The sequence below is a fragment of the Homo sapiens genome, chromosome 15 (assembly GCF_000001405.40).
Source record: "Homo sapiens chromosome 15, GRCh38.p14 Primary Assembly".
NCBI classification, from domain to species: domain Eukaryota; kingdom Metazoa; phylum Chordata; class Mammalia; order Primates; family Hominidae; genus Homo; species Homo sapiens.
In genome coordinates this window covers 23,066,633-23,081,512 of record NC_000015.10, presented here as the reverse complement: position 1 = coordinate 23,081,512, position 14,880 = coordinate 23,066,633, and the positions used below count along the sequence as shown (strand labels likewise).

At 46.6% G+C, this 14,880-nt stretch overlaps 2 annotated features.

Moving 5' to 3' along the window:
- Nucleotides 6,880-7,390: an enhancer, noted in NCBI's record as "H3K4me1 hESC enhancer chr15:22798435-22798945 (GRCh37/hg19 assembly coordinates)". NCBI's record gives its function as "activates a minimal SCP1, AML or CMV promoter by ChIP-STARR-seq in primed H9 embryonic stem cells {active_cell/tissue: H9 hESC(primed)}" and the evidence as "EXISTENCE:reporter gene assay evidence [ECO:0000049][PMID:30033119]".
- Nucleotides 11,587-12,088: an enhancer, noted in NCBI's record as "NANOG hESC enhancer chr15:22803142-22803643 (GRCh37/hg19 assembly coordinates)". NCBI's record gives its function as "activates a minimal SCP1, AML or CMV promoter by ChIP-STARR-seq in primed H9 embryonic stem cells {active_cell/tissue: H9 hESC(primed)}" and the evidence as "EXISTENCE:reporter gene assay evidence [ECO:0000049][PMID:30033119]".

Here is a 14,880-nt window from a genome sequence, read left to right as displayed (position 1 = left end):
CTCTGTGTGGGATGACATCAGAAAATGGGGAAGAGAACTGGGACAGGAAATGCTATTTTCATCCCTATTGCCAAGGGCAATAGCAGCTGACAACTCAAGTGGAGGGAGATAAAGATATCTTCACACAAGGGCCCGTCTTATAAGGACAAGGCTTTGCAAGTACCTCTGACCACCTCCCCCACTTCTCTCCAAAATAAAGGAAAATAAATTATCTTGAGCAAGTCTGGAAGATGGGCCCAAGTGACTGGTATCCTAGGCAACTCTGATAGCTTACTGGTATTCCAAGCAGTAACTAAAGCATTCTCTCTCCAAGGTCTGACGAAGGGAAGTCACTTGGCTGATGGATTATTTCGATGTATATTTACACTCCTTGCCTACAGGTTCAGGAGAGGGCTTTTTTTTTTTTTTTTTTTTTTGAGACGGAGTCTCGCTCTGTCGCCCCAGGCTGGAGTGCAGTGGCTGCGATCTTGGCTCACTGCAAGCTCCGCCTCCCGGGTTCACGCCATTCTCCTGCCTCGGCCTCCCAAGTAGCTGGGACTACAGGCACCCGCCACCACGCCCGGCTAATTTTTTTGTATTTTTAGTTGAGACGGGGTTTCACCGTGTTAGCCAGGATGGTCTTGATCTCCTGACCTCATGATCTGCCTGCCTCGGCCTCCCAAAGTGCTGGGATTACAGGCGTGAGCCACCGCTCCTGGCCAGGAGAGGGCTCTCTCTTAATGAAAAAGACCTTTCTGCATCTTCCAGATTTAGCCATTCACCCACAATTCATGTCTCGCTTATGGGGACCACCTGCCTCTCCTGGCATACAAAGCATAGCTGTTGTGAGGCTATTATGCACGTATGCTATCAATTTTTCAGCCTAAACACAGATGCCAGTTCTCACAGCCTGATAAGTATAAACCTCTTTGATGAAAAGGAGTAAAAGTCCTGTCCCCCACAAGCCCCCCGGCCTCAGAAAGAGGGATGCTTTCATGACCATTTCCTAGTCAGGATGGGATGCTTCAGAAGTCTACTGTCATAAAAAACCAGCATTTCCAGACCATGACAATGTAAAGGAACTAGTTTTCAAAGTGCTTTCACTTACTTTATTGTGTCCTCCCAGCAGCACCATGAATTAGGCAGAAGAGGATTATCACCTGCATTTGAAGATGGCACAACTAAAGCTCAGTGTTTTGTCAAGTGCCCAAGGTCACCCAGCTAGTAAGTCATAATAGGGGACAGAACTCGGACTGGCTTCAGCCAGTGCTTTCCCCTTTTCCTCTGAGCCAGCTTCAACTTCTGTCCACTGCAATTAAACGCAGCCTAAAGGGATTGAAGTGGGTTGGCCTTATGGCCCCCAAAGCTTCCATAACTTCTGTGGCTTGTGGCAGAATTTTTCACAGTAATTTTTACATGCCTAGACACACAACAAACCTCAGAAAAGAAACTGGCCCTATCAGCATAATTTCTGGGGAGACTGCTCTGTTGCAGTTACAGCAGGGCAGGGAGTTCTCGTTCCAGGGGTGGCGCCATCAATCTCTGGATGCCTAGAGATGCGTCCTTATCCTTATCGGCAAAGCGGCTGCAATTAGTAGACTAGGACTGCATGGTTGTGAGGTCAATTTTAAAAACTGAGATATAATTTACATACAATAAAATGCAGAGGGCTTAAGTGTACATATGTTTGTATGCATATACATAATAGACATAAACACATGCATCTCCCTGTAACCGCCACTCAAAACGGGACACTGAACATTTTCATCACCCTAGAAAATTACTTCATACTTCCTCTTCCTGTCAATCCTTTCAGTCCTTTAAAGGGGAATTTCTGACTTCTTATCATCATCCATGAGTTTTGCCTGTTTTTGTACTCCATATAAACGGAACTATACAATATGACTTTTTAGATCATTTGTTTTTCAATTTGGCTTCTTCTTATTTTTAAAATAAGCAGGTACAAAAGGCACAACAGAAAGAGCACTGGGCTAGGATAATTGTCCCTGGTGAAAAAAGTGACTGGATTTAGAGCCAAAGGCCTCAAGACCCAATCCTAGCTCTTTCATGATGTATACATGCCCCTTTAACCAAATCTCAGTTTTCTTCTATTGAGGGATGGATAATTGTCCCTGCTGAAAAAAGTGACTGGATTTAGAGCCAAAGGCCTCAGGACCCAATCCTAGGTCTTTCACGATGTATACATGCCCCTTTAACCAAATCTCAGTTTTCTTCTATTGAGGGATGGATAATTGTCCCTGCTGAAAAAAGTGACTGTATTTAGAGCCAAAGGCCTCAGGACCCAATCCTAGGTCTTTCACGATGTATACATGCCCCTTTAACCAAATCTCAGTTTTCTTCTATTGAAAGATGTGAGTGTAGGCCAGGTGCGGTGGCTCATGCTTGTAATCCCAGCACTTTGGGAGGCCGAGGCAGGCGGATCATGAGGCCAGGACATCGAGACCATCCTGGCTAACATGGTGAAACCCTGTCTCTACTAAAAATACAAAAAATTAGCCAGACACAGTGGCGGGCGCCTGTAGTCCCAGCTACTCGGGAGGCTGAGGCAGGAGAATGGCGTGAACCCGGGAGGCGGAGCTTGCAGTGAGCCGAGATAGAGATCGCACCACGGCAGTCCGGCCTGGGCGAAAGAGCAAGACTCCGTCTCGAAAAAAAAAAAAGAAAGAAAGAAAGACGTGAGTGTAGAACTAAAGCATGTCTCAGGTGACTTCTAAGTCTAAAAGTCCATGATTCTTAAGTGGAATTTTAAAAATCCAAGTGAGGATGCCCATTTTAAAGTCCTCACCAAATGAAGTTACACCCTTCCTTAATTTCGATGGTGCTGCTAAGAAACAAACCACATTATTTTTAACTCCTTTCTGAAAACCATCTTTGGAGATAATTAAGCCAAAGCTCATTATGTTATACCTATTATTTTCTCTTGACCCCATATGACATATCCTAGGTTGATGCTCTGTTTATTAAAGTTAGCACTGAATGATTCTCAGCTGTTCAAAAGTTCATATACATTTTAAAGCATGGAGATTTGCAACTACTGAACTATTTGAAAGATATTAATAAGCCCCCATTCTCAGTGACTCTGTCCTTCCCACAAAGCCCAGGCAGCCTATCTGAACTGAATGACACTCTCCACAACCCTGCCATAGCTGATGGGACCAAAGTGAATACCCAACTTTAGCTGAATTATTCCAATTCTTTCTCTTGAATTTAAAATACACAGATTGGCCAGGCGTGGTGACTCACGCCTGTAATCCCAGCACTTTGGGAGGCTGAGGCAGGTGGATCACCTGAGGTCAGGAGTTCAAGACCAGCCTGGCCAACATGGCGAAACCCCGTCTGTACTACAAATACAAAAATTAGCTGGGCGTGATGGCAGGCGCCTGTAATCCCAACTACTCAGGAGGCTGAGGCAGGGAGGATCGCTTGAACCTGGGAGGCAGAGGTTGCAGTGAGCCTAGATTGCACCATTACACTCCAGCCTGGGCGACAGAGTGACACTCCATCATAAATACATACATACATACATACAAACAAACAAAAGACACAGACTAAGGGAACTGGGTGATAACGGGCCCTGGAGAAGTAAGATCATAGTAAGCTTCAGAGCAGTTACCATGGCAAGCCAAAGATTCGCATAAGCCAAAAATACGGAGAATAAAAAACCAAGAGCCTTTCAGAGGAAGTGATTCTGCAAGAGGAATCCAGAAATATATAAATGAGCTGAGGCCAGAAATCAGAAAGATGAGAAAAGCCATTACCTGGTAACTTTCCCGATTACGTGGCTACACTTCCTATGCTTGGGGTACCTGAAAGTCCACTGTATCCTGCCAATAAAACTCCTATAAATTAAGCTAGTCTATGTATCTACTCATTGCAACTAATAAGCCTAAGACCAAAACTGCCCCCAAGTTCTGCAGGAACTCTAAAATGGAGGTCTGAGCAGACAGCAGCATCACTGGCATAAGATGATGGTTCTGGGTAAGCACTTAATTAACAATGGCTGAATTAATGACAGCAAAATCCACAGGTTTGCTCTTATCCACTAGGTAAGTCTGATTTGTTTGCAACAGATCAGTTATACAGTAACTTCGTAGTAATCGTATATCTAATAGTAACGTACAGGTAGCGTCTTTATTTTTATTTTATTTTTATTTATTTATTTTTTTGAGACGGAGTCTCGCTGTCTCCCAGGCTGGAGTGCAGTGGCGCGATCTCTGCTCACTGCAAGCTCCGCCCCCCGGGTTCTCGCCATTCTCCTGCCTCAGCCTCCTGAGTAGCTGGGACTACAGGCACCCGCCACCACGCCCGGCTAGTGTGTGTAGTGTGTGTGTGTGTGTGTGTGTGTGTGTGTGTGTGTGTGTATTTTTAGTAGAGATGGGGTTTCACTGTGTTCGCCAGGATGGTCTCGATCTGCTGACCTCGTGATCAGCCTGCCTTGGCCTCCCAAAGTGCTGGGATTACAGGCGTGAGCCACCGCGCCCAGCCTTTTTTTTTTTTTTTTTTTGAGATGGAGTCTCGCTGTCTCCCAGGCTGGAGTGCAATGGCGCGATCTCCACTCACTGCAACCTCCACCTCCTGGGTTCAAGCGATTCTCCTGCCTCAGCCTCCCGAGTAGCTGGGATTACAAGTGCTCGCCACCACACCCAGCTAATTTTTGTATTTTTAATAGAGACGGGGTTTCACCATGTTGGCCAGGCTGCTCTTGAACTCCTGACCTCAGGTGATCCACCTGCCTCAGCCTCCCAAAGTGCTGGGATTATAGGCGTGAGCCACTATGCCCAGCCCAGGTAGCCTCTTTATAGTTGATTGCTCACTTCTATAGCATTATTTTAGTTGATGCTCATAAGAACTCTGAAAAACATTCCTATCTTACAGGTAAGGCAACTGAAGTTCAGATGGATCGACAAACTTGTTCTCCATGTACCTCTTTCTACACCTCCCTCCCAAATGAAGGAAGAAAAAAAAAGAAGGGAGGGAAAAGAACAGTAAGTCAACCCAACACTTCAGAACTGGGTCTGAAGCCAAGGTCTTAGGACTGATCCCTCTACATAATACTTCCTTACATGATGACATTAGCTAACAATTACATAATGCTAGGGCACTATTTTAAAGGCTCTATATATACTAATTAATTTAATCTGCACAGCAACGCTGTGTGGTATGTTATTATCCCCACTTTAGAGACAAGAAAATAGAGGCACAGAAGAGTTAAGTAGCAGGCTCAGTGTCACACAGCTAGGAAGTGGCACAGCCAGAATTTGATCCCAGGTTATCTGGTATTGCTGGAAAGCCATGAGAAAGCAGGTGGCTCTGCACTTGACCCGCAGCAGGTGCTTTGTGGCAATTTCTGGTTTGTGTATCCGAAACCAAAGCACACTGAGGCTAAGAAACTTTCACAAGAACTCACCATTGTATCAAAAGATAGCACTCCACTGTCTACAGGTGGGCCACGGTCCCTTGTGTGCTATTTGGTCCTTTACAATCTAGCCAGACTCTTCCCTGGACTACCTGCTATTTCTATAAGGCCGTGTTCTTTCAATTCTTCTGTACCTTTGCATATTCTCTTCCTCCTACTGACTGTCAGAACAGCTCCTATTCAAGCATCAAAGCCTAGTTCAGATCAGATGCTACCTCTTCCCTGTACTAGTCTTAGCTTTCTCTAACTTTTCCTGGCAAAACTAAATAGGACAGGGGCCTCTGTGTTCTCACAGCATCCTGTTCATACTTCCATTAGCGAGTGTGATCTTGTCATACTCTATTATAGTTACATATTTACATATCTCCACTAGCTCCTCCTCCAGGACAGGTATAACTCTGCAGTGTCAACCTAGCACAACACTTGGTGTCCAGCGAAGGCTCAGTAAGCACCTGTGTCTGCTTAAACCCGATGACTCTGACTTCTTCCAAGCTGGAACCAAGCTGGCTCCAAATGGACAGGGATGGGCATGAATTGCGCAGGTTGTCTGGTGTTCCCTCTGTGTCCCAATACCCTTTCACTACAAAGTATTTTCATTGTTTAACAGTTTGTTTTGGCTGGGCGCAGTGGCTCACACCTGTAATCCCAATGCTTTGGGAGGTGAAGGCAGGAGGATCACTTCAGGCCAGGAGTTAGAGACCTGTTTCTACAAAAAAAATAAAACATTAGCTGGGCATGGTGGCATGTTCCTGTAGTCCCTAGCTACTTAGGAGGCTGAGGCAGGAGAGTCGCTTCAGCCCAGAAGTTCGAGGCAGCAGTGAACTATGATCATGTCACTGAACTCTAGCCTGGGTGACAGAGCAAGATCCTGTCTCTATTAAAAAATAAAAATTAAATTAAAGAACTGTTGTTTTCATATCAAACATTAGAATAATTCTTACTGAAAAATCAGGGTTAGCACACCTAACTCTAGTTAAAGAGGAAAACATCTCTCTGCTTTTCTCCCTATGGAATAGAAACATCAGGAGATAGGAGACTAGAAGTAATTCTATTCTCCAGATAAGATTCCCAGGATAAAATATATCCTTGTAGGGAACCCTCCCAGCACATGTTTGCTTACTCTCTTCATTTTCATTCCAGAAAGGAAGTGGAAATTAGGTAGAAGGAATTCAATAACATTGCAAAATTCTCAGGGTTATAAATGGCCTCTTGCTCCACCACTCAGCAGTACTGTAGCTCAACCGCAAACCACCAGAATAAAGGAGCTCTAGTTCCACATCAAGGCCCAGAGGGCCCCTTCCAGATTAAACAACTCTCCACCCTTCTCCCTTCCACCCCTCTTTAAGCATTACAGATATAAGGATGATTTGGAAAATCAAAATGCTACAAAACAGGAGAGGCACACACTGACCTGAAGACAATTTTACTGTAAGTCATTAAGAATAAAAGGCCAGTTTCTCAAATATAGAGCTGGGAAAAGTATAGAAAAATAGGAACATTAGTGTCTCCAATAGAGCAGTCTCTAAGTGGCTTCTAGAAGGTGTGCTTATAAAATCAGCACTGTTACAGAAGACCCCATGGAGCTTTATCAATCACCCGTACAGTGACTGCTGCTTCACGGAGCTGGAGTCTGACAGCAGGGTTGGAAAATCCATCTCAAGGAAGGAAGTGAAAGATGATCTCCTTCTATTAGTAAGGACCCCGCCAGCACGGGGTCTGAAGGAACGTGATTTCCTTCCAAATGCAAGAGGCAGCTTTATTTTTCCCCCAAACTTTTTTTTTCTTTTTGGTATGCAGTCTTAGAATGAAGGAAAAGGCTTTGGTTCCCTGCGTTAAATCATAGGTTGTGAGCTCTAAGCGGTCGTCTGGTGGCACTCCGCCCTGTGCCCAGCGGGCACTTACCGCACACTCAACAGTGGGGATAGCTGTGGTTTGGGGAACTGAGTGGGAGTGACTTTCGTGTCAGAGGCTGTGAGCAGCCGCTCTGCTCACACCGAGTGGGGCTGACCGTGGGCGCTGAGCAGAGGCAGAAGGGTACAACCCGGCTGTGCTTTTTGGAAGGGATCCCGGAGGTGGCATTCGTCACTGCACCTGCGGATCGGAACAAGGCTGGGCACCGCGCCAAGGACTCACTCCTGCTGTCTCTCTTCATGCTCACAGCAGCCCTGTGATGGAGGAGCACCCTGATCCCTTCGCTGCAGATGAGGACACAGGCTCACAGAGGGTCCGAGATCTTACAGCTGGTGAGGGGCAGAGCAAAACGCCAACCTATTCCTGTTGGATTCCAAAGTTTATACTTTAATCGTTCGTCTAGCAGATTCTTACAACAATCCTGGGAGGTGTGTATTCAGTTGTCACTTTGCAGATAAACTGATACTCAGCAAAGAGACTACATAGTGACTACCGCTTATAGGGCACTGCACAGTCTGCAAAGCAGTTTTACATGTTGTTTCATTTGATCCTCAAAACATCTTGGAATTAAAGATGATTTTTCTTAGTCCTATTTTACAGGTGAATAAAGTGAGGCTTGGGGAGGTTGAGGCTTAGCCATAGCTAACATTGCTAAAGCTCTGGCAGGAGTTACTCTTTCTCCTTCTCACTGGCTGGCCCAGCCTTGACCTTGTGATGATGATGATGACGTGCTAGGGGACAGAGCCACAGCACAGAAGGTGCCGAATGCTACCTGCCGACTTGGGACACTCACTTCATACTCTTATGTGAAAAAGAAATGATCTTCTCCGTTCTTTTTATTACTAATTTTGATAGCAGGGAGGGCTGTTAGAGCCAACCCTGCACTCACACAACACTGAGGAAGAAAGCCTTAAATTTTGTACCCTGGGTGCCTCACTTTGCTTCATTCTAGTCCTGACCCTGCTTAATACACATTTATCCAAGGAATGAGTCACTCACTTAAGCTTTACAAGACTGTGTAATTTCTTTTGCTGATATTGCCAGTGCAAGTTCTTTGATTGCAAGTCTTAAGAATCAATTCTGGCTAACTTTACCTGAAAAGGATTTTATTGGCAGGCTAGTGTCTAACTCACAGAGGTAACACGAAGCTGGAGAATCAGGCTTAGAAAAGGTTAGAAAGCGGAGATGTTTTGAGAGTTTAGGCAGGCAAGTGAATCAATTCCATGTTTTTTTTCCCTTTCTTGACCAGAGCTTTCTTTGATGAGTCAAAGTCCCTGGAGCAAGGGTTCAATTGGCTGAGCTCAGGTAACATGTCCACACTTTAGCTAAGGAGGGCAGGCACCTTGATGGACAGCTCCACCAAGACTGCACAGGAGTGCAAAGTTGCAGATCCCTCTTCCTCCACCTCAGCTGCTCCCAGTGGGCAACTAAGTTCAGGTGCCCTGTTTTCAGGCTGGGATCAAATAGGAGGAGTTCCTGCAGTGGAATGTCATGATTACACAAATGCAATTGTGTCTGGCATGTGGGAGAGCATAGCAGATATCCTGAGCTTTGTAACCTTATAGACCTTTGTGCTATTTACCAGCTGTTTGTCCCTGGGTAAGTTACTAGATCTCTCTGAGCCTGTCTCCTTGTGTGTACAATGGGGAGAATAACAGTACCAGCCTTAATGGATTGTTGTGAGAAGTGAGATCACTGCAAATGTACAACACTTAGCAGAATGTCTGCATATAAGTGCTCAATAAATTGTAAGTTATAAAATAGTAACATTATAGTAGGCCTTCCATAACTACTTATTGTGTGAGTGAATTATCTACCCCTCTCATTTCTCTAATCCATTTGACTTTTGTTTGTTTCTTGTTTTTGAGACAGAATCTCCCTCTGTCACTCAGGCTGGAATGCAGTGGCACGATCTTGGTTCACTGCAACCTTCGCCTCCCAGATTCAAGAGATTCTCCTGCCTCAGCCTCCCAAGTAGCTGGGACTACAGGTGTGCACCACAACACCCGGCTAATTTTTGTATTTTTAGTAGAGACAGAGTTTCACCATGTTGGCCAGGCAGGTCCCAAACTCCTGATCTCAAGTGATCTGCCTGCCTCAGCCTCCCAAAGTGCTGGGATTATACGCATAAGCCACCGCACCCGGCCAATATGGCCCATCTTTAGAGTGGTGGGGAGCTTAGAGATGAATTTTTTTTTTTTTTTGAGACAGAGTCTTGCTCTGTCGCCCAGGCTGGGGTGCAGTGGCGCGATCTCGGCTCACTGCAACCTCCGCCCCTCCAGGTTTAAGCAATTCTCTGCCTCAGCCTTTGGAGTACATGGGATTACAGGCGCGTGCCACCACACCTGGCTAATTTTTTTTTGTATTTTTAGTAGAGACAGGGTTTCGCCATCTTTGCCAGGCTGGTCTTGAACTCCTTACCTCGTGATCCACCCGCCTCGGCCTCCCAAAGTGCTGGGATTACAGGCGTAAGACACTGTGCCAGGCCACAAAATCTTTACCATGGTCTACAAGACCCTAGATGATCTCGCACTTTACTTCTCAGACTTAATCTATTCCTACTCTCCCCCAACTTACTGTTTGAGTCTCACATACTAATTTCTCATTCTGTGAACAGTTTCTTCTCATCTCTGTGCCTTTGGACTTGCTGTTCCCTCTCTTGGAATGCTTTTCCCCCAGCTCATCACATGGCTTCCATCTTCACTTTATTCAGGCCATGCTCTGTTATCTCCTCCTCCAAGTCTTTCCTGACAACTCTATCTCCTATCATCCAGGGCCTCCACCCCTCTTCTTCCCTTAACCTGCTCTAATCTTCTCCCTAGCATTGCATGTCATATTAACTTTTTTTGTTTCTAACTTCCACATTAGTTGTAAGCTAACTCCATGACAGCAGAGATGTTGACTGTCTTGTTCATAGCTGTATCTCTGCTACCTAGAACATATCTATTATAATACATGATATGGGGTCAATATCTTTTTTGACCATGTAAAATAATGGTTGCATCACTGAATAAAACAAAAATGACCTATGAGTAAATGGAAGGTCTCTATGAACTTGACTTATACTTAAATCATTCTAAACACTTACAGATTAATCATGGCCCTTCTCACATAGAATTATTGTCAAGTACAACCCCTGCCACCACACCAAAAGGCTATTTTAATTTTTTTGAGATGGAGCCTTGCTCTGCCGCCTAGGCTGAAGTGCAGTGGCGCTATCTTGGCTCACTGCAACTTCCCCCCCGCCCCACCAGATTCAACCAATTCTCCAGCCTCAGCCTCCCGAGTAGCTAGGATTGCAGACACCTGCTGCCACGCCCAGCTAATTCATTTATTTATTTATATTTTTATTAGAGACAGGGCTTCACCATGTTGGCCAGGCTCGTCTCGAACTCCTGACCTCAAGTGATCCGCCTACCTTGGCCTCCCAAAGTGCTGAGATTACAGGCGTGAGCCACCGCACCTGGCCACAGCCAGTTTTGTTTCATTTATATTCCCACTTCATTTATATACATTCCTTCTTCCTCTGAATTATTTTGAAGTGAAAACTATACATCATATCATTTTTTAATTACCTTATATGTATCTGTAGAAGACAAAGAATTTTTAAAAATATATTCACAATGCCATTAAATACCAAAAAATTAATACATTCTGAAAATAGCCGCAAATCCAGAGTTCACATTTTCTTGACTTTTTCATAAGTGATTTTTTCTAGGTTATCTATTTCAATCAGATACCTGTTTGCTCATATTTACATTCCTAACTGAACAATGTCTAAACTTAAACTGACATAAAACACAGACGATCTTATGACCAAATGCTTAGTGCAAGAAAAAACTTCAAATTGCAAGAGGAGTCCCTCCAAATATAGAAAAGACCAGTATTTTAAGAGATATGTTAACTAAAATGTGGCAATGTAAGAAGCAGAGCAGGAAGAACCTTTAAGTCTGAAACTTGCAAGTCAATTTCATAGTCAGTTTCCCTGGTCCTTCCACAACAACCTCTGGCATACCTACAATGAAGGTAACAATAGTAGCTATTTCAGAGCAGGAAAAGGCTTAGAGCAGTGCTAGAAGAGGGTTGAGGCTATATAAAGTTTAGCTATTTGTATATTGTAACAAACCTACAACTTTTTTTTTTTAAGTCAATAATAGAGTTCTTTGGGAAGAGTAGCAGCCTCCTGTCGGGGAGCACCTGCAGTTCCACTAAGTGACCACTGGTGTCCGCTAACCTTTGCCTCTACTTCTCTCAGTAATACACTGTCCAGCTGCTCCTTGATTTAACAATTTTATATACTTTCTTTTTTTTTTTTTCCTTTCCCTTTTCCTGAGACACAGTCCCGCTCTGTCCTCCAGTCTGGACTACAGCAGGGCCATCATGGCTCACTGCCACCTCCACCCCCCACCACACCCCCCCACACCCCCCGGGCTCAAGCAATCCTCCTGCATCAGCCTTTGGAGTAGCTGGGACTACCCGCGGGGCCCACCACGCCCGGCTAATCTTTGTGGCTTTTGTTTTGTTTTTCCGTTAAGAGACCGGGTTTCGGGCCAGGCGCAGTGACTCACGACTGCAATTCCAGCAGCCCGGGAGGCCGAGGCCGGCGGATCACCCGAGGTGAGGAGCTGGAGACCAGCCCGACCAACATGGAGAAACCGCATCTCTACCAAAAAAATAAAAAATAAAAAACTAACCGGGCATGGTGGCTGACGCCCGCAATCCCAGCCACTCAGGAGGCTGAGGCAGAAGAATCACCCAAACCTGGGAGGCGGAGGCCTAGGCGAGCCGAGACCGCGCCACTGCCCTCCAACCTGGGCAAAGGAGCGAGACTCCGCTTCAAGAAAAAAAAAAGAGATCAGGTTCCACCATATTGCCCAGGCAGGTCTGGAACTCCTAGGCTCAAGCGATCTGCCGCACTCGGCCGTCCAAAGTCCTGGGATCAAAAGCGTGAGCCACCACTCCGGGCCGATCTATTCCTTTCTGATTAATAAATTGGGCCGGGCGCGGTGGCTCAAACCTGCAATCCCAGCACCCCGGGAGGCCGAGGCGGTTGGGTAACGTGAAGTCGGGAGTTTGAGACCATCCTGACCAATATGGAGAAACCTCGTCTGGACCAAAAAAAAAAAAAAAAAATTAGCCGGGTATGGTGGTTCATGCCTGGAATCCCGGCCACTCGGGAGGCTGAGGCATGAGGACCACCCAAACCCGGGAGGCGGAGGCCGCGGGGAGCCGAGACTGCGCCACTGCACTCCAGCCTGGGCAACAAGAGCGAAACTCCCTCTCAAAAAAAACAAGCAAAAAAGAGACCTGGTTTCACCATGTTGCCCAGGCCGGTCTGAACTCCTAGGCTCAAGTGATCTGCCACGCTCAGCCATCCCAAGTCCTGAGATCAAAAGCGTGAGCCACCAAGCCAGGCCGATCACGCCTGTAATCCCAGCACTTTGGGAGGCTGAGGTGGGTGGATCAGCTGAGTTCAGGAGTTCGAGACCAGCCTGGCCAATATGATGAAACCCCGTCTCTACCAAAAATACAAAAAAATCAGCCGAGTGTGTGGCGGGCGCCTGTAATCCCAGCTACTCAGAAGGCTGAGGCAGGAGAATCGGTTGAACCTTGCAGGTGGAGGTTGCAGTGAGCCGGGATAGCGCAACTGCACTCCAGCCTGGGTGACAGAGACTCCGTCTCGAAAAAAAATAATAAAAATAATAAATTGGGCCGTGCGCCCTGGCTCATGCCTGCAATCGCAGCACCCCCGGAGGCCGAGGAGGGCGGGTAACCTGAGGTCGGGAGTTTGAGACCAGCCTGACCAACAGGGAGAAACCCCCGTCTGTACCAAAAAATAAATAAATAAATAAATAAATCAGCCGGGCATGGTAGCTCATGCGTGCAATCCCAGCCACTTGGAGGCTGAGGCAGGAGAACCAACTAAACCCGGAGGCAGAGGCCTAGCGAACCGAGACCTTGCCACCGCTGTCCAGCCTGGGCAACAAGAGCGAAACTCCGCCCCCCACCCAAAAAAAAAAAGACCAGGTTTCACCATGTTGCCCAGGAGGGTCTGGAACTCCTAGGCTCAAGAGATCCGCCGTGCTCGGCCATCCAAAGTCCTAGGATCACAAACGTGAGCCACCACGCCAGGCTGATCTATTCCTTTCTGATTAATAAATTGGGCCAGGCGCGGTGGCTCACGCCTGCAATCTCAGCATCCCTGGAGGCTGAGGCGGGCAGTTAACCTGAGGTCGGCAGTTTGAGACCAGCCTAACCAACATGGAGAAACCCCATCTGTACCAAAAAGAAAAAAAAAAAATGAGCTGGGCATTGTGGCTCACGCCTGCAATCCCAGCCACTAGGGAGGCTGAGGCTGGAGAACCACCCAAACCCGGAGGCGGAGGCCACGGGGAGCCAAGACCACGCCACTGCTCTCCAGCTGGGCTAGAAGAACGAAATTCCGCCTCAAAAAAGAAAAAAATTAATAATAATAATAATAAATAGACCAGGTTTCACCATGTTGTCCAGGCCGGTCTGGAACTCCTAGGCTCATGGGATCTGCCGGGCTTGGCCGTTGAATGTCCTGGGATCACAAGCGTGAGCCACCACGCCAGGCCTATCTATTCCTTTCTGATAAATAAATTGGGCCGGGCGCGGTGTCTCAGGCTTGCAATTCTGTAGCGGGATTTTTAAGGAATTAGAGAGACTGATGGGGTTTAGGAGGATATTATTTAGGTGCACTGGCCCAGTCAGCTTAACATTTAAAGCATTGAGTTCTGGAACCAAGGGCTATCTTTTAAGCATTTTGTGGGGCGGGGGTAGATCTGTGCAGGGGGAAGCATAATACAGAAGCGAGAAACAAAGATAATTAATTGAAATATGCATTATATTATTTTTTACTATTTAAGGAAAAATACGTTTTGTTGAGTTTGTTTAGTGACCTTGCAATTGCACAGTTAGGGAATTAGCCGGGCACGATGGCTCACGCCTGCAATCCCAGCCACTCGGGAGGCCGAGGCGGGCAGATAACCTGAGGTCGGGAGTTTGAGACCAGCCTGAGGAACATGGAGAAACCCCATCTCCACCAAAAAAAAAAAAAAAAAAAAAAATGACCCGGGCATGATGGCTCAAGTGTGCAATCCCAGCCACTCGGGAGGCTGTGGCAGGAGAACCAACCAAACCTGGGAGGCGGAGGCCCGGCGAGCCGAGACTGCGCCACTGCACTCCACCCTGGGCAACAAGAGTGAATCTCCGTCTCAAAACAAACAAACAAAAAAAAACAAGCCGGGCGCGGTGGCTCACGCCTGTAATCCCAGCATTTTGAGAGGCTGAGGCTGGCGGATCACGAGGTCAGGAGATCGAGACCATGCTGGCTAACACGGTGAAACCCCGACTCTACTAAAAAAAATACAAAAAAATTAGGCGTAGTGGCGGGCGCCTGTAGTCCCAGCTTCTCGGGAGGCTGAGGCAGGAGAATGGCGTGAACCCGGGAGGCGGAGCTTGCAGTGAGCTGAGATCGTGCCACTGCATTCCAGCCTGGGCAAGAGAGCAAGACGCTGTCTCAAAAAAAA